General features: G+C 35.8%; 1 pseudogene; it reads right to left on the bottom strand.

Moving 5' to 3' along the window:
• Positions 1-295: 295 nt before the first annotated feature.
• LOC101928041 (putative ankyrin repeat domain-containing protein 20A2) lies at positions 296-24,823 on the bottom strand (annotated as a pseudogene).
• Positions 24,824-27,759: the final 2,936 nt, after the last annotated feature.

Here is a 27,759-nt window from a genome sequence, read left to right as displayed (position 1 = left end):
GTATCCTAAATTATGATTTTATAACAAGTAGGTGCCTTTGAAACATTACATAGTCATAAAAATATGTAATTTGACATATTTTCAGATTTGTTAAATTAATATGATTAATAACAAAGATATACCAACTAAAATACATAAAAAGCTACTTAAAGCAAGGTATTACAAGACACAGCAATACACTTCAGTTCATCTGGGAAATCTAGAATTAAGTGTCAAAGAAAATCAATTAAATTTTAATTTGAAAATACTCATTTCAGGTGTAAACATTTCCGTTTATACTTACATTATGGTCTTAACATGTGGCAACATAAAGTCATTAAAATTATTATTTCAGCAGCACAGAACTATCTACCTTAAAATATGACTCTGTCCCTAATAAAATTTCATAGGTGACACAATGTCTTTTCTCAAAGTAAATCATCTCTCACCTCTACCTTTTATTTCCTAGAAATGAGGCACGTTTCTAAGCTGGTAGAGTAAACACGGTTTTCCTTTTTTTTATTAAAACAGCTTTGTTGAAATATAATTTACATACTATAGAATGTATCTGTTTTAACTTAAAGTTAAAAGATTTTTTAGTCCATTTACTGAGTTGTGCAGCCATCTCTACAATCCAACTTTACAGCATTTCCATCACTGCAAGATCCCTCACGCCCATTAGCAGTCACTACCAGCTTTCAGCCCCAGCCCTTTGCAAACAGTAGTCTACTTTTTGTCCCTATACGTTTATCTTTTCTGGATGCTTCATGTAAATGGAATTATACAGTATGGTAAACACACCTTTTATCCATTGATTTTTATATTCAACTAAGTTCAACATGTATCCAGAACCAAATGTTTAAATTTTCTTTCTAAAAGTTTGAAAATATTTATCTTCCTTGATACTTACTACTCTTTCTGCTTTCTCTCTCTCATATTGAAAGAGACTTTCTTTTAAATGATCACATTCATTCATTAGTTTCTTATTTTTCTCTTCTAGCATGAGGTCTTTCTTTCCACTCTCAATAAAGCCTCTTTGGATATTAGTTACTATCTCTTTATGATCCTCTTTCTGATGAACATCATCTAGTTGCTGTTCAATGCACGGATTTTCATGTTGGAGTTGACATATCCGCTCTTCTACACAGCTCCACTTTCCAGTGGAATTATTCACTTTAGCTTCTGCATTTTCATACATCTCTTTCATTTCCTTTATTTGCTGCTGTGTTTGTCTTAGGTCGTTTGGAGAGTTTCTAAAGCCAATGACTTTTTTCTGAGAGTATCTCTTTTCTTATGGAACTTATCTTTTAAGGTATTGAATTTAATTTGCGTTTTAGAAAGTTGTTCAGTAAGAAATTCATTCTTATCTTCTACTTCGGAAATATCAGAACTCATTTTTACTTGTACGGAAACGTCTTGTGTTCACTCTAATGCAAGTTTTAGGTTTCTTTCTGTTTTCACACTTTCACTGTGTTTACTTATAGCAGCAGTCAGTGTAGACTGATGATTCAATTTCAGCTTCCAGTCTTTTGTTGCTTTCTTCTTCCTTCAACAGTTCGGAATTGAGCCTTGTATTCTCAGCTTTGAGATCATTAAGCTCTTGTTGATACCGGAATGCTGTTTTTGTTATCAATTCCTCATTGAGTTTTATATAGTTTTCAAGGGCAGCATTTGTTTTTTTAACAATTTTAACGTCCTTAAGATATTTATTTTCTTTTTCCAGGTTGTCATTTTTCATTGTGCATATTTCCTGTCTGAGTATAGCAATATCTGTCTTCAAAATGCAATTTTCATCCATCAGATCTTTCATTTCTTCGTGATTATGAAAATCCTAAATAAAACAAAAGAAAGTTTTAGCTAGTATGCAATAAAATAACATAACATGATTACCTCTGAAGTTAAAGAATAACCTGCACATCCATATACAAAAAGGTTACTGTAAGTGGATATCCAACCGGAGAAAAAGTTGAAGCAAAACTTTGAACCTTATAGAGCATAAGTTCCAAAAAGTTCAGAAATTTATTTAAAGTCAATGAATTTATAAAAGTAAACACACACACACACACACGCACACTAGAGAATTTTTAAGAATTTCAGAATTGGAAAAGCCTTTCCCTGAATTACAACAAACTCAGAAGCATAAATTAAAGCATTAACAAATTTGACTAAATTAAAATATATCAAAAAATTGCATTTACACTTTGATATCTAACCCATACACCACCCTATAGTAAGAACCTTATTTCACACGTATTTGGACAGATAAAATTTCCCAGAGTTACTACAGTTCTGTTTCACTGATAACATTCTATTTCAATTTGACTCTTTTAACACTTTTATAGTCAGTTGTAAGAATTACATTTACTAAATCATAAATCTAGACATTATACTAGTCACTCCTATATACATTCATTGATGAACTCCTCTAGTTACCACAATTTTGAAAAAGAAATGTTAAAAATATAAGCAAGCTACAGGATTTTCCCCAGGACTTCTGACTCTACTTCTAGTTCTCTGACAGATCACAGTTACTTCTGTGGTGTAAATGTATCAATACGAAAGAAAACTTTTATTTCAAAACACCAATGGTAAATAAGATAAAATTTATAGAGCTCTTCTTAGAATATCATGAGATTATTTGTGATTGCAATAATTTGTTTCCTCTTTATAGTATTAGGTACAGTAATCAATATGAAATAGCGGGAAGTACAAGGGACAATTTTACTGGGAAAAAAATCTTTATCAATAGGTTATCACTAAGTATATATTATGGCATATTATTGTTTTCAAAAGCTCTTTGTAATAAAATAATATCCTATGTGGATGCCAAGATTTATAATAAATATTAATAATTGTACCTGTAAGTGTCATCATTCATTTTTTGAAAATGAGATAACATTTCTGGTTTGTTTTATACCAAAATATTATATATTAAATCAAGAGGATATTATAAGTAACATTGATAAAATAAAGTTTAAAATATAGAATTTTTACCAAAGATTGATTTATCTGATTTGGAGTATTTCTTGTAGTCTTCAGTTTCATCTCTAGTGATTGAACAGTTGGTTCAAGTTGTTTTGCTTCAACTTCTTTCTTATATTGTTTCTCTTTCCTTTCTAATTCTTCTCTATTTTTTTGTACAGCATATTAACATTTGTTTTTTCTTCACTTTCTTGTCTTAAGATGCATCTGCAGATAAAGACATTTATCTTAAAATTCATTTTGTTGGAAAACAAAGAGATCATCCTGTGATCTACCTCTGCAGATGCTCTTTATCATCCTAATAAAATTTCTATGTTCTGGATTATTTTTCCTTTGTAGTTCTCAGATATTTAATTTCTCACTTCAACATCTTCAAACGAATGTATATACTTGAAAAGTAGTAAGGAAAGAATATTCTGCTAAAGTTTTTGTTACTAGTCACTCTAGTATGTATTATAAAAAAGGATACTGGAAATAATTCAGTATAGTTAGAAGTTCAAAATTACCTTTTCAAATCACACAGTCATAATTACTCCCCGATTAGAAAAGATCATTTACAATCAACTAAATTTTTAAAGTTACTATTTATTGACAAGCGTATAAGTTCACTAGAAATAAATTTTCATCTCTATGAAATATTGTAGGTGTCTCTCCAAATGATTTACAGAGTAAGATGTCTCTCACACAAACTACATCTGCAGATGATTGTCATCTAAAACTAGGCTAAAGAGTCTAACATCTGTCACCCCATACTTTTTATAATTCTTTCTTAATACTTCCAATTCACCTTCTTATTACATATATTTTATATATTTATTAAGCTATTGTTCATTATGTGTAATATATAATTAATGCCCTTAATAAGTGTGTGTATGTTTACACAAGTTATGTTTTCCTGTGAAATCTAGTCCCAGAGGTGGAGTTGTTGAGTTAAAGGGATGTCAGGTTATTTGAAATTTTGATACACAGCACTAAGTTACCCTTCAGAAATAATTTACCAATTTCATATACCAACAGTGTATGAGAATGCCTTTTTCCTCACATTTTCAATGGTAGTAATTACTTTTTCAATATCAGCATGACTTTACAAAATATATCTTATTTTATGTTAATTTGCATTTTTCTGATTACCAGGCAGGGCTAAATATCCCTGGTAAAACTATAAAACTTGTTAATCATAGGGAACATTAGTCCAATTTTGAATTAGTTTATAGCACAATGACAATTATCTGCTGAGAAATACTGCTATAGGTGGCCAGGCACGATGGCTCACACCTGTAAACCCAGCACTTTGGGAGGCCGAGGTGGGCAGAACACCGGAGGTCAGGAGTTCGAGACAAGCCTGGATAACATGGTGAAACCTCATTTCTACTAAAAATACAAAAAATTAGTTGGGCATGGTGGCACATGTCTGTAATCTCAGCTACTAGGGAGGCTGAGTCAGGAGAATCACTTGAACCCAGTATGCATAGGTTGCAGTGAGGTGAGAACACACCATTGCACTCCAGCTTGGGCAACAAGAGAGAAACTCCATCTCAGAAAAACAAACAAACAAACAAACAAACAAAAACACACTGCTATAGGCTTACTTACCTATCATGCTCTTCCTTCAGTTTCTTGGGAAATTGCCGAGGATACGTTTTCCCAACCTTTCTTTGTTTGGTTAATCTGTCAGCAGCAGCAGAAGATGTACTATGACATACATTTTCTGATAGTTGTATTTTTTTCACTTTTGTTTGTATTATTTCCTTCTTTGACCTTTAGTAAAAGTAATATGAATAATAATTATTATTTTATTCAATAAAAAAACTTTTTCCCTGATTTTTTCACTTGATTCAGGTTAACTATCACCATTTTAATGATAAAAGTATTTTGTGCTTACTTTAATTTTATCATTATACATAATAATTATAAGACACTTATCATTTTATCATTGAAATTTTTGTCAAGTCTGCTCATTTCTGTTTGAGTGAATGGAATAATTTTCCAAAATTTCAAAAAGGACTCTTCTCCATTTTGTGCTTTTATTCGCATCCACTCTTTGCTATCTGATATAAATGTTTATGCTATCTGACTGGCAGAAACAGAGAAATAAAAAGACACAGGCATAACATATATCTCCTGTCATTGCCACCTGGATTTTACATGAAATAGCCAGATTAAGAGGATGTGACCTTGTAGGCCTTCAGGAAGAGTAAAGAAGTTTTCCCTTTTCTGCACTGAGCTATTCTTTTCCCCACTGCCTTTTATCTCTTTTTTTTTTTTTTTTTTTTTTTGGATCCTGGGATATCAAAAAAGTGAAAGTTCTCCCTGAACTATGGGAACCAATGTTTGCCACAACACAAGAAGCAGAGTGAAACTGCTGAGTTTCTAATGCAGAATTCTGGAAAACGAGATGCTTCCCAGATTTCACATTCAATTACCACAAACGTTTATAGGTGGAAAACATACGGTACAGCTAACTACTTTAGCCCCATTATCTACTGAAAATAGGAGTCAAACCAACCAAGACATATGAAATGTTTCATCCAGAGCTCTTGAGGTGGCATTCCCTAGCATTTCATGGCACCAAATAACATGATACAATTCCATATTGCTCAATTACATAAATTACCAGATAAATTTATCAAATTAGTCAGATATATTAAAAGTCTAACTTGAGCAAAGCAATTTAACACCTCAGAGGGTGGAAAAAGGCGTGGAAAAAGGCCTCATCTGCTTTTACTTTGAAAGAAGAAAATCTCTAGATTTTTGTCTATCTTTAGAACACAATGTACAGAACTCAACTTTCTACTAAAGAGTCAAAGGCTAAATTTTTAGCTAAGAAATTATGCTTCTTTCTTACATGATAAAAATCATACATGCCAAAACTTACCATACTTTATTAAACAACATAATGTAAGGTCTGATTCAACAGAAATATTGGAGTGGTGATTTTTTAAAATATGTGGAAGTATATATTTGTTTTCAAAATATTGGAAATAACCATGATGGAACTATAAATTCAAACAGTTTAAGCTAAGCAGATAAACTGGCGTGCATGAAAACACATTAAACAGACTCATTTGGCTGGGAATATTCATTGCAACTCTCAAGGCTAGACGTGTTTTTGTGGCTCATCTCAGTCATTGCTTCCCTCCCATTGTATTCCCATTCTATCATTAAATAAATGTAATTCATCTCTAAATGAATACAGAAAAAAGAATCTAGAATCTAAAGCTTATTTCTTTAGCAATTTCTTTATGTTGATCTGGTTCAGAAGGTCACATGGTATATGGCTGAATTAGTTTCCCAGCTCATATGCCACTTGGAAGACTGAGAGTGAGACTTAGGTTGATTAATGAAGAAACATTATGAGAACATTCTCCAGAACCGTTGTTTAGATAGCAGGACTAATCTACTTTGACACATAATTACACATTTAGAAAACCCTGCTGTAACTGTACACATGAGATTTTCTTGAATAGAAAATTTGACTAAATCAAATAATTGACAAAGAGAAAAAAGAAGCAGCAAGTGAACCTCTGTCTTTTTGAAGTTGGACTTTCTCTTTCTCCAAAGCCAGGAACTCTACTTGTAACATGCCTACCTTATTCTTTTTACTATTATTATACTTTAAGTTCTGGTACATGTGCACATTGTGCAGGTTTGTTACATATGTATACATGTGCTATGTTAGTGACCTCGGAATATCTTGCTGTAAGTCTTCTAGCTATATTTTTGATGTTCTCTCACTATGTGGCAAAGAATAACCCGCATTTTATAATTCAAGATTCATGGTTTTGTAGTTACTAACACTGGGATTGTCATACAGCGGCTTCTGGAATAAGCACTGTGTTGGTTTTCTGTTTTTATAAGTATCTGTAGCAGCAGAAATACTGTGACTTTCTATCTGAATCATATGCTTCATTTCTTTGGGGTGGGTAAACCACAAATCAAAAAGACTTTCTGGATCTCTAGACTGAGACCAATGCCTAATTTCCAATTAGTGGTATTTGGATTTATATATTTTTCCATTTGCATGTCAAACTCTTAATCATCTTTCATTTCAATCATAATTACTGGGTTCCTTACTTTTTCAGTTTCTATATCATAACAAAAATTTCCATCATCTGTGTTAGAAACAAGCTGTGTGTCTGGTTTGTTATCATTTTTATAGTCTGATTTATTTTAATTTAAATGAAGCCTAGAAGATGACTGGTAAGTGTATTTCAGGGACCTGGAGTGTGAATGGAATAAAAAGACATTTGACATGGGCTTCCTCTGTTCAGGCGCTGCCTGGACTGCCACAGAGCTAGACCCTCCTGATACATTTTTCTCCTCACAATCAGGGACATGATTCATCAGACTAGAGGGCACTCCTTTTTTGTTCATCCCTCTTTAGAGTTACCATGTAGGAGCTCTTCCTCAGGGCAAGCAGTAATTTTGGAGTTTTCAGAACTTTTACCAATATTCAGCTTGAACTTGTTTGTAATGAATTTTAAAGAAAGTCATGAATATATAGATTGATTCCCTTTATCACTGTTCTTACCCAGTTCTGGTTCTTGAGACTTTTTTTGGTGGGGGGCAGGTGCAAAATGGAAAACAAATTTGCTTGTTTTGTTTCTCAGATGTCTTTTCTGTCAGAGTGCATGTTGTAAAATTAGCTTTAATCAAGTATAAACAAAGAAATATTAGAAAATAATTAAAATTTAACTGTGAAACTTAATCTATGTGTTGCTACTCTTAAATTATGGGATTGTAACTAAAAAGTGAAAAATAATTTGCCTTGGCTTAACATAGGACAGAAACATGAACCAGCAAGCTGAACTCTCAGTGTCTGTTTGGACTAAACTTAATGCATTTGTGTAAAATCTACCAGAAATGAATTCAAAGATGATAGGTAGTATTATAAAAGCTTCCTCTCTTACAAAGACTTTACCTCAGCATACCAGAAAGAGTGAGCCCCTACAGTGCATGTTTATTTCTGAAGATTAACTAGAGCACTAGGCAAACACTAAATTATTAAGAGCTAAACTGAACACCAATAAGAAAGAGAAGCAAAATTTTAAATTCTAATTCAAATGATATACTATGATAGTGTTATGTATCTAGATAGAATTTCTGCTTATATCCACTTCTAATATATTTTAAGTTCCAGTAGTGATAGGGTTTGGATTTTTTAAATTTTGGTAATGCTTACTATGTATTTATGTTGAAATAAAGTTATTGTTCACACCCTGACACCAAAGGTCCCATTCTGCAAGGTAGGATTCTCTTAATAGGCAACTGCATTGACTTTTATGACCCCATTCACTCCCTGAACACAGACACAGAAGTCAACTGGTGACCATAAAACAGAATAAATCTTTAACCTCGGCACTGGTGACCAGCAATATAAAACTGCAACATTTGAAGCACTGGCAATGATGACTCCTTTAACACTAGTTTAACTCAGTGGCCATTGTTGTTAAACTGTTCATAATTTCTATTCCTCAGCAATATGACCCAATACTTCATGTTACCTTGTGTATTATGAGTAAGGTTATATAAATAAAACAGCAAGATAATTCTGAAAATTTCTTGCCTCAATTCCAAGGATAAAGACAGCTATGAGTTACTAGAGATACTAAGAATTACTAGAATAACTAATAGTTACTTAGAGATAGTAAGAATATCTTAAGTTTCATAACTGGTTAAGATGTTTTAAAAATTAAATATAAAATTATGATCTATTGGATTCTAAAGGTATAGTCTGAAAGGTCATGTCATTTGTACTATGCTTTGTTACTAAAGCAAAAAAAAACCTAATATTAAACAAGAACTTAAATTTTCATATACCTGTGATTGCTTCTTTTCACTTCTTTCACACCTTTCTTGCTCTTCCTCTAAAGCCACTGGTAAGGTTTGTTCTGTTGACAAATTCATTGATTTAGTTCAAATGAACTAAGAAGAGTTAGATAAAGACTATAATCTTTATAAAAATAAATAGAGAATAACATTTCTTTGTATTTTATATTTTGAGAGTTTGAATGAAACAATGTTTACTGAAATATTTACTTCTGTAAGAAATACTTCTAATTATCCAAAACTTCAACAAACCACTTGGGGAGACACCAGATATCACCAGATTCAAGCCATGCAAAATCTCAGGGTCACTCACAAATTGTTCCACCCAACATAAGTCAACAAAACTGTTGGAAACAAAACAGAAATTTGAAATACAGTCAAAATATACAATGCAATGCTTTGCTATACTTCATAACAGTATCTTTTTAACAAGACTCTAATTGAGTTGGCAGTTACTAATAATTTGCAAGATTATTGTTCTTTATACCTCAATTAGTGTGCACCCCATTTTTTACATCACAAATGTTTTCCCCTGCTATTCTGAAAAATTTATTTTCATCTTTTAAGACTCAGAAAGTAGGCTGGGCATAATAGCTCACATCTGTAATCCCAGCACTTTGGAAGGCCAAAATGGGAGAATTGCTCAAGGCCAAGAGTTTAAGACCAGCCTGGGAACCATAGGTAACCTTGACTCTACAAAAAATTAGACAGGTATGGTGATATGTTCCTGTTGTCCCCGCTACTCAAGAAGCTTAGATGAGAAGATCCCTCGAGCCTAGGAGTCTGAGGTTTCAGTGAGTCTCAATCATGCCATTGCACTCCAATCCTGGGTGATAGAGTAAGAACTTGTCTCCAAAAAGAGGAAAAGAAAAAGGCTCAGAATGCTATGTGAAATCTTCCTTGATTCTAGCTATCTTTCTCCACACACACAGGTGTCTGCTTCGTTGGGATCCCTTAGTACCTTGTCAATTTTTCTAGTGTCACTTTACCACCTGACCTGCACATCATGTCTTCACATGTTGACCCCCTTTGCTGCTAGACTGTAGAGGACAATCTTTTGAATCATCTTTGTATAAACAGTCTTAATTTTGCTAAATAATTACTTATTGAGTTCCTGCTAAGTGTTAGGCACTGGGGAATAAGGAAGGAAAATAGAAGCTGTCAGGGATGGCTTTCCTAAAGATCATCCATGAGCTGAGACTTAGAGAGTGAGGTTAGCCAGATTAAGCGAGGCAGAGGGCAGGAAAGGGTGAGCACATGCCAGGCAGCAACAAGAGAGGAAGAGAAGCCTCCAAGAGAGTATGTATTTCTCTGCAGAAGAGGAATGGTGAGGGGGCCATTACCAGCAGCTCAGTAATTCCAGAGAAAAAGGCAGATGGGGAAAGGGATACAGATGGAGATTTGGGCAGAAATCAGTTTCCTTTTCTTTTCTTTTTTGGGACAAGGTTATACTCTGTCTCCCAGACTGGAGGGCAGTGACATGATCTCAGCTCACTGCAACCCGGCCTCCCAGGTTCAAGTAATTCTCCTGCCTCAGCCTCCTGAGTGGCTGAAATTACAGGTGCGTGCCACTACCACCTGCTAATTTTTGTATTTTATTAGAGATGGGGTTTCACCTTGTCGGCCAGGCGGGTCTTGAACTCCTGACCTCAAATGATCCACTTGCCTCAGCCTCCCAAAGTGCTGGGATCACAGACATGAGCCACCGTGCCCAACCCAGAAGTCAGTTTCTGAAATCCTTATATAAACCTTTAAGATGCTTGGACATTAGGTATTCAGGAGTGGTTCACGGATCTATTTGCATTAGGGATAATTCACTCTAAATACTGTGAGGAGCATAAAATTCTGAGGTATATAAATCAATGAACAAAGATAAAATATAAGGCAATGTTGCAAAGATGATGCAGGCCTGAGGAGATGTTTTCAGAAATATTTAGGATATAGGTATCAGTGGCCATTATAAGAATGAATTTCTATTGAATAAATAAATGTATATATCTGGGTCCCTGGAGAAATACACTCTGCTCATTACTTTACAAATTTTATCAAATGAGAAGTAAAATAATATACATAAACTCTTTCAGTTACTTGTATTTACTTTACCCTTTTTCTGTTTAAGTTTTACTGTGCCAAGGAAATGCATTTGGGTTTTGTGGTGGTTGTTGTGGTTGTGGTTGTGGTTGTTTTTGTTTTTTGAGATGGAATTTCACTCTTCCTGCCCAGTCTGAAGTGCAGTGGTGTGATCTCAGCTCATGGCAACCTCTGCCTCCTGGGTTCAAGCGATTCTCCTGCCTCAGCCTCCCAAGTAGCTGGAATTACAGGCATGTGCCACCATGAACAGCTAATTTTGTGTTTTTAGTAGAGATGGGTTTCTCCATGTTAGTCAGGCTGGTCTCAAACTCCCAACCTCAGGTTATCTGCCCGCATCAGCCTCCCAAAGTGCTGGGATTACAGGCACTAGCCACCGCACCCAGCAACATATGGGGATTTTGTTTCAAAAGTTCTGTTTCCTGGATCTACCAAGCTCATGAGAAAATAGAGCAAACAAGTCATTTGCATAGGTAAGAAACTTTGGATTTATAGCTTGTCCTCACTACTCTAGAAGATTATCATCATGTTTTGCAAAGCAAAATGTTAAACACAGACATAAGGGGAAAAAGAAATTAAAACTATAGGGGTGGGTGAAAAAATATTGCATAATTTATTACTGTTGACCTCATCATATGACTGATTAAGGGCCCTGAATTTAACTTGGATGTGAAGTAGACCTCATATTAGCTGCAGTTAATCAGTAGACCAGGCGTCATAGCAGAATTAAATTTGATGCTCCTGTGTTATCTTTAAATGACACAGCTTTTCTGAAAACCCTTACTCATAGTGCATGATTATCCATTAAGAAAAGGTGATGGAATATGTGAATACAGCTGAGGAGACACCACAAGGCAGATGCTCAGTGGTTCCCATTAATATTGGGAAAATCAACCCTATAAAACAGAAAGCCATAGACATTATTTAATATTTGGTTTTGGGAGGTATTTTTAGTGACACTGCATACAGTTGTACCTAATAATTGCTAAATTAGAGACGTAAAAGTAAAACAAAGTCACATTGTGTTTGAGTAGGAAATCTATAGACATCTAGCTGGTTTTCCCATCCAGCCACAAAATTCTAAATATAATCATGGTACCTGCACTCAAATTTATGTTAAATACCAACCTCAATGAAATCACTCTTTCTTCTCATTCTCTTTGTTATTTATATGTTGCTTTCCTTAAGGGAAGAATAAAAATGCCTTGCTAAGAACCATTCTGTTTGGTTGTAGGCTGCATAAGGGGAGTAAACACAAAGTACATTTGACCACAAAATGACTTTTTAAAAGTCAGAACTATGGTAGCATGAAGCCAAACGAGGTAATCTAGAATAAAATTTTCTATGATTCTTTCCCTTCTTTGCTCTCTTTCTACTCTAATAACTGCGATTCACACAGGTAATGAAGAGTGTAATTCCTTGATAGAAACACAGCTCCAAGATTAATCCTTTCTTTAACTATGAAGTTCGCGTGTCCAAAATCTGTGGTAGTTGCTGTCTGATTTTTGATCACTGATGGTGATACAGATATTTATCATCAACTCACAACTTCCCAAATCTTTGAAAAGTCTTACTATTGATGGTTCAACTAGTAGAAACATGATGTAAAATATCTGAAAATAAAGTTTTTATTTATTAGAATGTAAATAATAATACAAATTGTAACAAGGTGTAAAAGTTCTTTCTTCACTGAAGCAGTACCATGTTGTCCTCTACCCCACAAATGCACTACTCCCCCGTGGTCTAATGTATTTTAAAAGTCTTGTAATTGCTATTAACTCAGACAAGTTTACTTAACTTGTTCTAAGCTTCTGGTATTTACTACAGTTTACTTTCAATCACTCAACCATCTCTGTTATATGTGTTGTTTTCCATGAGAAATTTGTTTATTAGTAATTAAGATTCTTCAGGGATAAGAAAGTATTTGAATAACTAAGTTTGTGCATAAACACATTAAGGTCAAATACCCATGACATTATTGTGTGTTTCTGTGTACTAGAGACAAAAACTTCAAAAAAAATTTTAATGAATATACGTTAAATTAAAAACTGCTTTCATTAAACTGAGATAATCTTCCCTCAATGCATGAATACCTTCAGAATTCACATAGACCAACGAATTGTATAAAATATAATAGCCTTAAAAATCGTATTTGTAGCTGGCACAGTGGCTCCCACCTGTAATCCCAGCACATTGGCAAGCCGAGGTGGGCAGATCACCTGAGGTCAGGAGTTCAAGAGCAGCCTGGCCAACCTGGTGAAACCCCATCTCTACTTAAAATAGAAAAATTAGCAGGGTATGGTAGCACGTGCATGTAGTATCAGCTACTCGAGGGGCTGAGGCAGGAGAATTGCTTGAACCCGAGAGGCAGAGGTGGTAATGAGCCAAGACTGAGCCACTGCACTCCAGCCTTGGTGACAGAGCAAGACTCTGTCTCAAAAACACAAACAAACAAACAAAAAACCTAATTGTTCCCATATAAGTCTATGTTCATACAACATCTGAAGAGTACACAACACCGTGAGACAGGACAGACATATATTTTAAAAGTTATATTCCTGGTTTCTGTAAAAATAAAATAGTCGAATTTAAGCTTTCAAGACAAGTCAACCAAAAGAGCAAAAAATGCAAAAGTGAAACTCAAAAGGTCATTTCCCTATCAAGGGCTTATGATCACTGGACATTCACAAACTATACTGTTCAAAACATTAGATCTGAATTTTGATCCGAGTATCCCTTTAGTAGCAGTTTCATTCAAGGATGTCCAAGAGGTAAAATAAGACAATATCATTTGCTATTTCCAGTTTTCTTTTCTGAGAACAGCCCAGCATTCTTCTTCAGAGAAATGAATTGTCCTAACTTCATAGGCTAAAGGCTCATGAGTCATAGTTCTAAGGGCATTAATAAAATATGGTGGTGCATGCTTGTATTCTGAACTTTTCAGGTTTAAACTCTCATATAGTAAATGCTAATAGATACAAACCGATTAAAGAAAAGCCCTCTTAATCTGACATTATTTTTCTTTTTATTTCTTCATTTATCAGCAACAGGAGAGTCTAACTAAATGTGGTAAAGTGGTATGAGGGAATACAATGAACAGTGTAAAATGAATTAAACCAGAGATAATCACACCAATGTGGGTACAAGTGGAAAATATAATAAAAAACACACCAAAGAAAGTGGCAGAAAGGTATATAAAGTATATAACCACTCACATACCATTTTAGGACACAAAAATTCTGCATATTATTTCTGAGCATCACAATGTAGTTAAAGATTTCAAAAGGGCATTGAAATGAAAAACAACCAACTTATGATGTTGGTAGCCTCTATGCAATCATGTTTTAAAAACTTTAACACCAAAAAGGCTCAAAATCACCATTTTAAAGGACTGTGTCTACCAGTCATAAATGAATCATTACTTTCGTCATTTGTAATAGTCAAAGATGCCACAAGCGTACACATACACACATCTATATATACACCTACACACACAGTCTTGCTCATTAGAACATCTGATAGGCTTCAGATCATCAGTGTAATAACACTAGCAGCAAGCCTCTGAAGTTAAAACAGAAACTAACACTTTAATAAGTAAAGCTTTCCTCTAGGTAAAGATCAGAACTCCAACTAGCACTTAACTCACTGGAAATATCTTAAGAGTCTCAAAATTCACTGCTTTGAATCCCTGACAAGTATAAAAATTTTATACTGAAAACTTCATGCTATTCAAAACATTAAAACAGAAACATCTGACTTAAAGCTTACATTTTTAAAATCTTTTTTATGCTTCTAAATTTGTTTTTATTCAAATATGGATACCAACAATAACATTTATGTCAATGCCTTCTGTTCAATATTGAACAAATAGAATTAGGAATAAGAATAATATGAGTACATCCAATCATTGAATGTACTTTATTTCCAGTATTCCATTAAATGTACCTGCTCTCAATGTCTGTACATTCTTTCTTTGTACTGCTCCTTTCACAGCAGGATCTTCCACTTCAGTGCTAGGCTGAATGGGTTTTAAAAGAAAACGATTCATAAATCACATATATTTTATACAACATAGAGTTAGTGATTCAAAAATATACATAATTAATTACCTTCAAGGAAGGATGTTTTGCAGGAGGCCCTACAAAACAAAGGGGATATGTCATCAATTATATGTAAGTATGACAGGGCCAACCAAACATTCATGCAGTGTTACTGTTGGGCTGAATTCTCAGGCCTGGCTATAAAAATAATTACTTAAGGCTATAAAAATAATTACTTCTTGGCTTCTTCTTTTCATTGCCTAGGACAGCAACATGACAGAAACACAATGAGGAAAATAGGAATATAGGATTCCCAAAATGCACAGTTTACATTTCAGTAGTGAGATTATGTTTCAAATGCCTATACTTAAAATAGAAAAGCATTGATATAACCGTGAACACGTGGACTGATGAGGAGAAAAGGGACCATTAAACAGAGGGTCAAATCAAACCTGAGAGAATCAATGCAACTTAATCATATCTTATTCACTCATGTCAGTGAAACTTCTCTCCCTGAGGCCTGACAGTTATCAAGTGAAATGAGCTGCTGTGGTTTACCCCAACTCTAGCACTCCCTCCTGTCTCCAGTACTCTCCACAGCAATAACCTCTTTTGTGAGACTGGGCATATGCTGAAGCAACTGGAAGTGAGTTGTCTCAAGTTTACTTGGCTTTAACTCCCAAGACCCCAGCAAATGTCTTTCTTTCCTCCTTTTGTGTCCTTTCACCATCCCTCTTCCTTTGAAAAAATGATTATCAGAACTGTCATCCTGATGCTTCCCTTCCTAACTGCTTTTTATGGATGATTGTGACCACTTTTTTCATCTGTATTCAGCAGTAGTATACACCTGTAATCTCACTTTTTTCATCTCATTTTCCTTCCCCTGTGGCTAGAATCATGCTCAGAAATAAAAGGAAATTAAAGCTTTCCCTGGATTCTGTTATTTTTTAAATTGCTCTCCAGTGGTTCTTTTTCCAGATTTCTCTAAAGGAAGGCTATTCCCTTGCTATTCAGAGCTGTGTCCAAGGACCAGCACAAACATCACCTGAGTGCTCATGAGAAATGCAGACTCCAATACCTGCTGAGTCAGAATGTGCACTTTCCAGAATCTCCTCAACGAATTCATGACAATTTGAATGCCCTGTTCTACACTGGTGTGCTTCCATATTGGTTTACCCTAATTGGCCTTTTTGGCCTAGCCTCAACTTCTTTCCTATTATGTCCCTGAATTTAATACTACGTTATAAGCCATAATGTTTCTAATGAACTTTTAATCAGGCAAAGCTTCTCTAATTAATTTCTTCCCAATAAATCACCCAACACTATTCTTTTCAATTATGTTAATATGATACTATCCTATGAAGTTACAACATTTTCTATAAAAACAAATTATAGCCATACATGGCTGACCATTTACGGTGATGTTCATCTATGGTAGATAAAACACAGGTCTGCATGGTAAAGTACCTCAATCCTTAATGCCTCCCCAGTAGCGACAATGACAGCAAGAGAAGGAAAATGTTACTGTAATTATATGACACATTTTGGTACTGGAAGCTCACTTTATCTTCCTTCCTATTTCTAACACCCTGTTCTTCCTTCTTCTACAGATCAATTTGACTTTACTACCCTCCATTACGTACATCTACTTTTTTTATTTATTCCATGTACACTCTGCCCTCCTCATTCTTTCTTTCTCTTTTATTCATTTCCTCTTCCCTCTCTCCTGACTTGCCTCAGGTCTTAAGAGTATGTTAAAATGGAACTCATAACTCAGCTCCTTTAGTGGTACTTCCAATAGAATCAACTGCTGACCCTTGGTTAGAGACACCACTTATCACCATTTCATTTCTCTTTTACTTATGATACAGTTAATAGGACATTTTCTTTAGCTATTAAACTCTATTAGTGCTCATATTTTAAAAGAAACATTCCATCAATGCCTTTTTTTTTTTTTGAGATGGAGTCTCACTCTGTCACCCAGGCTGGAGTGCAGTGGCACGATCTCCGCTCACTGCAAGCTCCACCTCCCAGGTTCACACCATCCTCCTGCCTCAGCCTCCCGAGTTGCTGGGACTACAGGCACCCACCACCATGCCCGGCTAATTTTTTGTGTTTTTAGTAGAGATGGGGTTTCACCATGTTAGCCAGGATGGTCTTGATCTCCTGACCTCATTACCCGCCCACCTCAGGCTCCCAAAGTGCTGGAATTACAGGCGTGAGCCACCGCGCCTGGTCTCCATCAAATGACTTTTTAAATAAAATACGGTTCTCACCTTTTCCTTTTCCATTGACTATTCTGTTTCCTTTTTCATGAGAAGGTCCACGTAAAGGCTCTGACACTTTCTCCGGGACATACTGCTAAGGTAATAGCAAGAATTAGTTTCCATTTAAAATTAAAATGAGTTGCATCAAGAGTTTCTTATCAATCTCTTTTTATGAAACTGGGTCTCACTCTGTCAACCCAGGGCTAGAATGCAGGGGCCTGATTATGGCTCACTGTGGTCTCAAACTCCTGACCTCAAGCAATCTTCCCACCTCAACTTCCTGAATAACTGGAACTACAGGTGCATACCATCATGTCATGCTAATGTTTTTATTGTTATCTTTGTAGAGACAAGGCCTCATTATACCTCCCAGGCTGGTCTCAAGCTCCTGGGCTCAAGCAAATCTTCCACTTCTGCCTCCCAAAATGTTGAGATAAGCAGTTTGCACCACCACACCCATCCCTAATCAATTTCTTTAAATCAATCTCAATGTTGCCCAGGCATGGTGGCTCACACCTGTAATCTCAGCCCTTTGCAAGGCCAAGGTGGGTGGATTGCTTGAGTTCAGGAGTTGGAGACCAGCCTGGGCAACATAATGAGAACACATCTCTACTCAAAAAATACCAAAAGGAGTCAGGCATGATGGTGTGTGCCTGTAGTCCCAGCTGCTTGGGAAGCTGATGTGGGAGGATCACTTGAGCCTGAGAGGTGGATACAGCAGTGAGCCAAGATCATGCAACTACGCTGCAGCATGGACAACAGAGCAAGACCCTGCCTCCCCAAAAATTTCAATTTAAAATGTGAGAACAAAGAGAGATACAAACAAAAAACAAGCCTAATTAGTCAATGAAATATGAGCTTAAGCCAAGAAAGAAAATGAAAAACATGAAGTACAATAAAGTACTTGAGGAAATAGATCTATAACAGAGCCTTCGGTCTTTCATAACTCTGATAATACTAATTAATATTTATGCTGCAATTAGTTTTTTGTAAGTACTTCTGTGATAGTGTTTCTTACTATAAGACATTCAATTAGCTAAATATGGTCATCTGCCATTACCTGAAAGAACATTATTATAACAGAGAGAGAAAACTGGAACTTTCCATCAACTTTCCACCCAGAAAAAGAATTGGTCACCAGAATTCTAAAGAGTAATGTATGGCAGACACATGAAAAAATGCTCATCATCACTGGCCATCAGAGAAATGCAAATCGAAACCACTATGAGATATCATTTCACACCAGTTAGAATGGCAATCATTAAAAAGTCAGGAAACAACAGGTGCTGGAGAGGATGTGGAGAAATAGGAACACTTTTACACTGTTGGTGGGACTGTAAACTAGTTCAACCATTGTGGAAGACAGTGTGGAGATTCCTCAAGGATCAAGAATTAGAAATACCATTTGATCCAGCCATCCCATTACTGGATATATATGCAAAGGATTATAAATCATGCTGCTATAAAGACACATGCACATGTATGTTTATTGTGGCACTATTCACAATAGCAAAGACTTGGAACCAACCCATATGCCCATCAATGATAGACTGGATTAAGAAAATGTGGCACTTACACACCATGGAATACTATGCAGCATAAAAAATGATGAGTTCATGTCCTTTGTAGGGACATGGATGAAGCTGGAAACCATCATTCTGAGCAAACTGTTGCAAGGACAGAAAACCAAACACCACATGTTCTCACTCATAGGTGGGAACTGAACAATGAGAAGACTTGGACACAGGATGGGGAACATCACACACCAGGGCCTGTCATGGGGTGGGGGGAGAGGGGAGGAATAGCATTAGGAGATATACCTAATATAAATGACGAGTTAATGGGTGCAGCACACCAACATGGCACATGTATACATATTTAACAAACCTGCACGTTGTGCACATGTACCCTAGAACTTAAAGTATAATAATAATAATAAAGAGTAATGTATGGCTTGAAACGGTATATTTAATGGAACATGAGTTGGGTCTAATAAAAAGCTTAAGAAATGTTAATCTAAAATCTCAATGTTAAGATTCCAGTTGAATGATACTAGAAAATATATTGTAACCCTCTTTGCTACCGATGACCTATTTCTCTTTTATTTCCTTTTTAATTATGGCATAATTTCTCAACATAACATGTCAAAACTTATACACCCTTAAATATTAAAAAATAATACAATGTAAGCAATATTTTAAATACAATATTTAATGATTAGATACATTAGGTTTATTATATTACTTATAACATTCCATTATATAAAAATTCATTTGTTTATTTATTCAGATTAAACAACTATTAAGGCTGAATGTCTCATGTCTGTAACCGCAGCACTTTGAGAGGCTGAGGCGAGCAGAACACTTGAGCCCAACAGTTAAAGAAGAGCCTGGGCAACAAGGCAAAACCCTATCTCTACAAAACTCAGCCCAGCATGGTGACACAGGTTTATGGTGACATAGCTCTATTGTTTCAACTACTTGGATGGCTGAGGTGTGAGGATCACCTGAGCCTAGGAAATGGAGATCGGAGTGAGCCAAGATCTCACCAGTGCCCTCCAGCCTGGGTGACAGAGTGAAACCCCATCTCAAAAAACAACAAGTAAAATGCTTCTTACATGGAAGACTGTATTCTAGGTACTCCAGGATACACACAAATATGTTTACTGACCTCCAGTAGCTTATGGTATGCAGGAGCTTCCAGTGATCATTTAAAAAACTAAATAGAAAACCTTCTGACATTCAAACTTTCAGAATATGATATAAGGACTTTGAGCGGTTATTTTATTTTATTTTATTTTTTAAGATGTAGTCTTGCTCTGTCAACCAGCCTACAGTGCAATGGTGCGATCTTGGCTCACTGCAATCTTTGCCTCCTGGGTTCAAGCGATTCTCCTGCCTTGGTCTCCTGAGCAACTGGGATTACAGGCATGCACTATCATGCCTGGATAATTTTTGTGCTTTTTTTTTTTTATTTAGAGACAGGGTTTCACCATGTTGGCCAGGCTGATCTGGAACTCCTGACCTCAGGTGATCTACCCACCTCGGCCTCCAAAAGTGCTGGGATTACAGGTGTGAGCCACCACGCCTGGCCAAGTAAATATTTTAAATAAACTACAATGACAAAATTATGATGATAAAGACTTACCATATTGGTATTAAGAGTCTCTGCTTCTAGAACTGGTTATTTGCAGGAAAATACATGTTATTCAATTAGATGAAGTGTTTTATATAAACTCTTCATGGACAACTAATAAATCACATAAAAACCCCTTTGCAATACAAATCTTGAGAACATAAATTTAAATTTCTACATTTCCACAATTTATATTTTTAAATCAGATACAATGTTGCCCAGGCTGTTCTCAAGCTCCTGTGTTCAAGCAATCTTACTGTCTCAAACTCCCAAGTAGCAGGGACTACAGGTGTACACCACCAAACTCAGCTATTTTTCTATAATTTGTAATACTTTTTTAGTCTCACTACAGAACCAATAATATAAGTAGAGAAACAATCTCTCCTAAAAACTATATGACACCAAAATGATAAGTTTCCAAGAACAAAACCTATATGCTATGTGCTGAACATTTCTGCCACTAAAAATTACCAGGAGGATTCCATGATTACTGCAAACAATTTGATCCACTGAAGATTTATACAGGAATAAATATTAAGAAAGTCACACTTGTGTGATTTAAAAGTCAAAGTATTAGTATTTATCCAAATGAAGTTTAACCAAATTTCATATTTCCTCTATTGGAGAAAGCATTTCCTAATGTGATTTTCCTGTGACTACTTATTTTCCAGTTCATTTATTTTTCAGCTCCCACCCTGTCACAGTACTTACCAATCTTTATTAGTTACCAAAGTTAAACACATTTTTTGAATCAACTAGCCATGGGTATGTTTTTCTCTGACCAGCTTTCCATTACCACCATAAAACAATGATAGGTAAACCACTGCTAAATTTGAAAAGTAAATGCTATGCAAAACTACACTCAGAGTGAGAAGATTAATTTTACAAGAGACCACTTTACCTTAGTAGCAACACTCAAGACTTCATCATCCAATGTAGGCAATGAATCCACACACAGTTCATGCAAAATGCTTGAGAGCAAAAATACACAATGAAAATGAGCAAGTTGATTTCTTTACAATTTTTTTAACTGCCAGTTTATATCCAGCTTCCCCCTCAAAAAAAGGAAAACATAATCTGGGGAAAGGTCAGTGATCTATATATTAAATTATGATTCTTGATATAATTAAAATATGTCCTCTGTTCTAAAAATAGATTTTAGTTACCTATTTCTGCCTCCACCTGTCTAAATCTATAAAATATTCAATGAAAACTAACCTTGAGGTTTATAACAAATAGTGACAGTCAATATATTGGCAGAGCCTGACAATAATGTGCCCTCACAAATTATCTGTCCTGAAGCTGAACTTAAAATTCAATTAATGGATGACATAAATTTTGTTCCCTAAACTGGAATAAAACTGATGACCTAAAACAAGGTAGAAAGATCCACTGTCTCTTTTCCATGATCTGTCTCTGGATAAAAGACTAATCTACATCACTTCAAAATGGTAGTCTTGATTCCTCAGCCTGGATCCAACTTAGGAAGGTCCTATTGCTTTCCTTTACCCTAAATTGGTACAGGAAAGCCCCCACAATATTTGAAATGTATGAAAGCTAAATGTACAGAAGTCAAATAGCAAAGGTGTATGTTCTTATTGAGAATACTTTTCCCAGAAAGATTAAAATATTAACAATTATAAAATCCCATTATTTTCACTCTATAGGTCCTACCTTATTCAGGTCCACATAAACTAGCAAGCCCTTAAAAATTTTCATAGGCACTCAGACACCCAAGGAGAGAGACTGCGAGAAAAGAAACAGAGTCATGATAGTTGTACCTCTATTTCCCTAAGTACTATCTAAGTATATTTCTTACTATGGACACCCACTTCCAGATTCTACTTCTGCAGGGTTCCACAGAAGTCTCCAATCTTCAAATCTTCAGTGTATGAAAGCACAGATTCCTGAAAGAATGGTCTCAAATGACCAGGAGTAGGAGCTCTGTATATCCCTGCTCCTGAAAAACAAGCTAACTGGAGTCTCCATCACCTGCCACCAGCTATACACACTACCAACTACCCAACTGAACTCCATGACTGATTTGCCAGCTAATCATGCCCCTGACCCAGCCCACATGGACATGGGAAGGACATCAGTGAACTGTGAAAAGAGGCAGAGGTGAGGAGACACCTGCCCTGTGCCACACATCTATGTAGTTCAGCAATTTCCAGCCCCTTAGTACTCCAGGGGCTCTAAGCCACCCCTTTGTAAGTCAGGATGGAAGTAGATGACACCACATTTCTATCTGCTGTAGACATTCTTCCCAGTGTCTCAAAATGTTTTGGCATCTTTCAGTAAAAATCTTCAAGTTTGTCAGTCCTTGATTTAAAAAAAAAAAAAAAGCAGCAAAATTTTTAGAGCTCCCTTGAACCTTCTATTTTAATGTGTCTTTGTAGATAATTCCCAACATCTTGTGTCCTTCATTTTATAATTTATCTTTATCAAACTTGTCATAAACCCCAATACTTTGATCTCTTGTAGAAGAGTCCGTACTCCTATCCAATCCAGTGTTGTTTATCTTCAAACTTGGACTTCCCCTGCTCATTCCATTCTTATCTACTTCCATTGGGTTCACCAGCTAATTCCATTCTCATTCTATCCACAGGCTTACTCCCGTTTGTATTATTAAAACACACGCCAATAGGACATAAAAAGAAGCAAGAGTACTGGGCTTTACCATGAGTTCAAATCTCATTTCTGCCAATTCCTATGTCTAAAAAAAAAAGCTTCCTAATCTCTTTGAGCCTCACATTCTCTATCTAGAGAATCACTTGACCAGAATGTTCAATGCAGATAAAAATACTAGAAGGTATTTTAATTCATTCCAAGATTCCTTAAAATTCTGTAATTCTATGTCCTCTTGATTCTGTCTATAGAAAAACTTGGAATACATAGGCAGCAGAGTTTGAAAAAATAATAGAACAAAAGAAACACCCAGAAAAACAGAGAAGAAAGTTTTAAAAAATGAAGACAAGATTATATAAAAGTCATGGAAAAAGCAACAAGACTAAAAAATGTATTATGGAAGTAAGCAGAAATACTTGCCTAAATGGAAAACCAAACTGGGAAGTCAAATAATTTGTCTCTAAGACTTGCCTAAACTTGCTTTGGTAAAACTTACAGTCCTATGGCCAAAGCTAAGTCAGATCTGCCCTAGAGCCTTTGAAGGTAAAAATAAGATACTGGTTACCACTGAAATCGTCAAATTTATTAGGACTAACCACATTCTAACAATAAACTTAAATGAGAGTTCAAGGTATTTAAACTCTCATTAATTTAGAAGTTAATCAAATTAATGAATCCGATTGATCTGATTCAGACCTATACTTTGATCCAAGAGCTGTACAGATATCTATCAATCTATGCTGAGGAGCAAGAGAAAGGATTTGGAAGGCAGGCAGGCTGATGGTCAAACTGTAGGCCAGCTACTTTGTTAACTATGGGATCATGAGGCAATTAATCAGCTCTAATCCATAGTTGTTTATTTAACAGTAGGTTATAGGAACACAGAAGTTATGATGGCTTTATGAGATGATAAGTGCATAGAACATATTAGGATGTCTAGCCCAGAATACAACACTCAACAGATATTAGTTTCTTCCATCTATATTTTCTTAGTTAACATAATTTTTTAAATCTATGAAATCTTACCTGACTGCAGATTCATCAGAAATTCCAACATCTATTAAAGAAAAAGGTAAAATGCATTTTAAATCAATAATAAATGTACAGAATATTAAAATCATAAGAATGCACAGTGATGCATGCCTCTAATCCAAACTACTTGGGAGGATGAGGCAGGAGGATCACTTGAGGAGCCCAGAAGTTTGAGACCAGCTTGGGAAACATAGTAAGACTCTACCTTCATAAAAAAATTGTGCACACTTGTGTGTATGCTTTAGATCCTGTTTTTTGTTGTTGTTGTTGTTGTTGTTGTTTTGGTTTGGTTTGGTTTTTTAAAGCATAAGACTGACGCTTTGTTACAAAGCATTCCTTTGGGAGCATGCCTGGGATCTTATTAGAATTAACATTCATTAAACGTATTGGTAGGTAATTAATGCAGTAAGAACTCTTCCCTCTGTGTTTATTAGATGCAAAGAAGAATAAATTTATTAAAATTTGGTATCTACAAGTGAACTGCAGTATACAAGTCATCCTAGCCAAAGCCTATGAGATTGAGTAAAAATGGTATTGTTAGCAGAACAGGTGTGATGAGTCAACAGTGTCAAAGAGCATGATTTCTGGACCAAAATATGAGGGGCCATTACAACAGAGTATACACTAGTACCCCTTATCCACTATATGCGCAGAAAGACATACTTGACACGTTTTTCTCTGCTGTCACACCACAGCAACAAACATCAACAAAGAAGGCTTCTGTGACCAAATGTGTGGAGAGTTTTTCCCCACCAACAAACAAGCAATCATTCCTGCTGATGACACAATTCAATTCTCACACCCTATCTACAGATAACATCAGATTTAATTTAATTTATAAATTAAACTTTGTCATAGATATGCATGTATAGGGAAAAACAGCTTGTGATTCAGTACTATTCATGGTTTCATGCATACACTGGGGGTCTTGGAATGTATCTCCCACAGTTAAGGTGTAGTTACTGCACTTATTTTGTTATAACACAACACAGCCTCTCTAGCTCTTCAGTTCAAACTGTTTAGTTTAGAATAAAACATGCTATCGCCAGAAACCAAAAAAACATAGGAATCAGACCAGAAACAGGAATCCTTGCAAAGACTTTCCAGCCACCAGTGGAGAAGATCTCAAGAGAGATCAGTGTGTTACTCTGGCTAATACTCTTCTGGGTAAGGTGCTGGGTGGTTTCCTTAGTTGTAGCTATTTGCTCTGGCCTACGTATAACAAGGCCCAAATTCACCTGCCATTTTACCTCCCACAGAAAGAACCACTGGAAAGATCACTCCTTTAAGAGCTTATCCACATTCAGAGGGAAGCTGAATAAACACTGGGGAGGCATGGCAGGCTGCCATGCAATATTATCTGATGTGAAAAAATATATAGAAAGAAAACTATCAATGCCCTTTTTCTACCAGAATGTTCTAATGCTTGCCCATCTCCCTAGTAGGAGAAAAAATTTTTTTCACCTCGCATAAAGCAAAACTCCCTTGTCATCTCTCATGACAGAATCTAGTTGTAGGTGAGTCATGTCATCATAATACAGGCTGTTGTCAACCTCATCCCTCAAAGGAAGTTCCTCATAAGTGAGGAACTTATGTATTTACCTAATAGCATTCACTGCCTGGTCTTATTTCCAACCGAAGGTAAGTATGAAAGACTTTGTGATTCCAGTTTTATAAAGCACAACCCTTTGCACTTGTCCCCTTCCATTGCTAAAGAGTCTATCTGGACCCACCTCACAGAGCAAGATGCTCCAGGTTGTGCTGTGTAGTACGGCGTGGTGTCCTTTTCCTCAACCCTTTCTATTATGTGCCACATATCTATACAAATCATGTTTTCTAAGTATGTAAATCATATCTCATCAGAATACATCATTCTTTACAATGATAAAGAAGCAAAAGAAAAACAAAAGGACAAAGAACATCTTAAATGACTACATTCAACTGCCATGGAGCTTTAATTTTTTAACTACTCAAAAAGATATCCACTCTTCTTATTCCAACTATATGACTCTTCTGAAAAAAGTAAAACTATGAAGACAGAGTAAACATCAATGGTTGTCACGAGTTGCTAGGGAGAAAGGGAGAGATGAACAGGCATAGCACAGAGAATTTTTAGGGCGGTGAAACTGTTCTGTCGATAATATTACAGTAATAGATACATGTCATGTCATTATACATTTGTCCAAATTCACAGAATGTACAGCATCTAGAGTGAGGCCTGATGTAAACTATGAACTTCAAATGATTATAATGTGTCAATGTAAGTTCATCAGTTGTAACAAATGGACCACTCTCTGGTGGAAAATACTAATAATGGGGGAGGCTATGCGTGTGTGGGAGGCATGGGATATATGAGAAATCTCTGTACCTTCCTCTCAATTTTGCTGTGAACCTAAAACTACTCTAAGAAATAAGGTTATTGATTTAAAAAAAAATATTCAGCTGGGCTCAGTGGCTCATGCCTGTAATCTCAGCACTTTGGGAGGCAAAGGTGGGTGGATCACCTGAGGTCAGGAGTTCAAGACCAGCCTGGCCAACATGGCAAAACCTCATCTCTAATAAAAATACAAAAATTAGCTGGGCATGGTAGCTGGCACCTGTAATTTCAGCTACCTGGGAGGCTGAGGCAGGAGAATCGCTTGAGCCTAGAAAGCAGAGGTTGCAGTTAACCAAGATCGCACCACTGCACTGCAGCCTGGGAGACAGAGTGAGATTCTGTCTCAAAAAACAAAAAAGATATTCACTGTCTATGCATCCCAGGATCTCCAGAACAACAATTAAAATAAATAAATAAAAAAGATGGCTGGGGGCAGTGGCTCATGTCTGTAATCCCAGCACTTTGAGAGGCTGAGGTGGGTGGATCACCTGAGGTCAGGAGTTCGAGACCAGCCTGACTAACATGGTAAAACCTCATCTCTACTGAATATAAAAAATTAGCCGGGCATGATGGTGCATGCCTGTAGTTCCAGGTACCTGGGAGGCTGAGGCAGGAGAATCATTTGAACCTGGGATGTGGAGGTTGCAATGATCCAAGATTGTGTCATTGCACTGCAGCCTGGTCAACAAGAGCAAAACTCTGTCTCAAAAAAAAAATAAGTAAATAAAATTAAAAATAAAGATAGTCACTGAACCTGTTACTATGATATATTTAAGCAAGACACGGTGACCCTAAAAATTAGAGATCATTGAAGACCAAAGTAACAACATGTGGTCATTATTTCTCAAATTGAAGTATATAAAATATATAAAATAAATAAATTTAATTGCATGCTTAGGTAAGAAAATATTGATAAAAATGATTGAATATTTTATCTTATTTCATAATTCTAAGCAGGGCTTTAGCACAATATGAAAACTAGATTATTCATGTAATCCAAATAAAAGACAATTTTTATTCTAATTTTAACTCAGAAATTATTTTGCTTATTTAACAATTTTACTGAAAGGTAAATGAGATAAATAGGACAGATTATAATTACCTAACATTGCTATGGTAACTTATGTACAAATAGCTGTTCGTCATCGAAAGTCAAAAAAGTAACCAGCGCTGCAACTTAAGATGGATCATACAACAGAAATTAGTACCAAGTTACCTTATCTTATAATATTATGTTATTAAAATGAAATTTTAAAACAACACCAAAAATTAAGGTGGGGCTATACAAAGTGTGCAGAAAAGATTTCATGTAACAGGCAAGAGACTGCCATCCTTAGAAAGGCCTGCATGCAAGGCTGGCCCTTGGGTGGTGTTTAGGAAATTGGAATTGGGAGGGTTTCCA

This window comes from Homo sapiens, chromosome 22 (assembly GCF_000001405.40).
Source record: "Homo sapiens chromosome 22, GRCh38.p14 Primary Assembly".
Lineage (NCBI taxonomy): Eukaryota > Metazoa > Chordata > Mammalia > Primates > Hominidae > Homo > Homo sapiens.
This window is presented reverse-complemented; position numbering and strand designations above follow the sequence as displayed.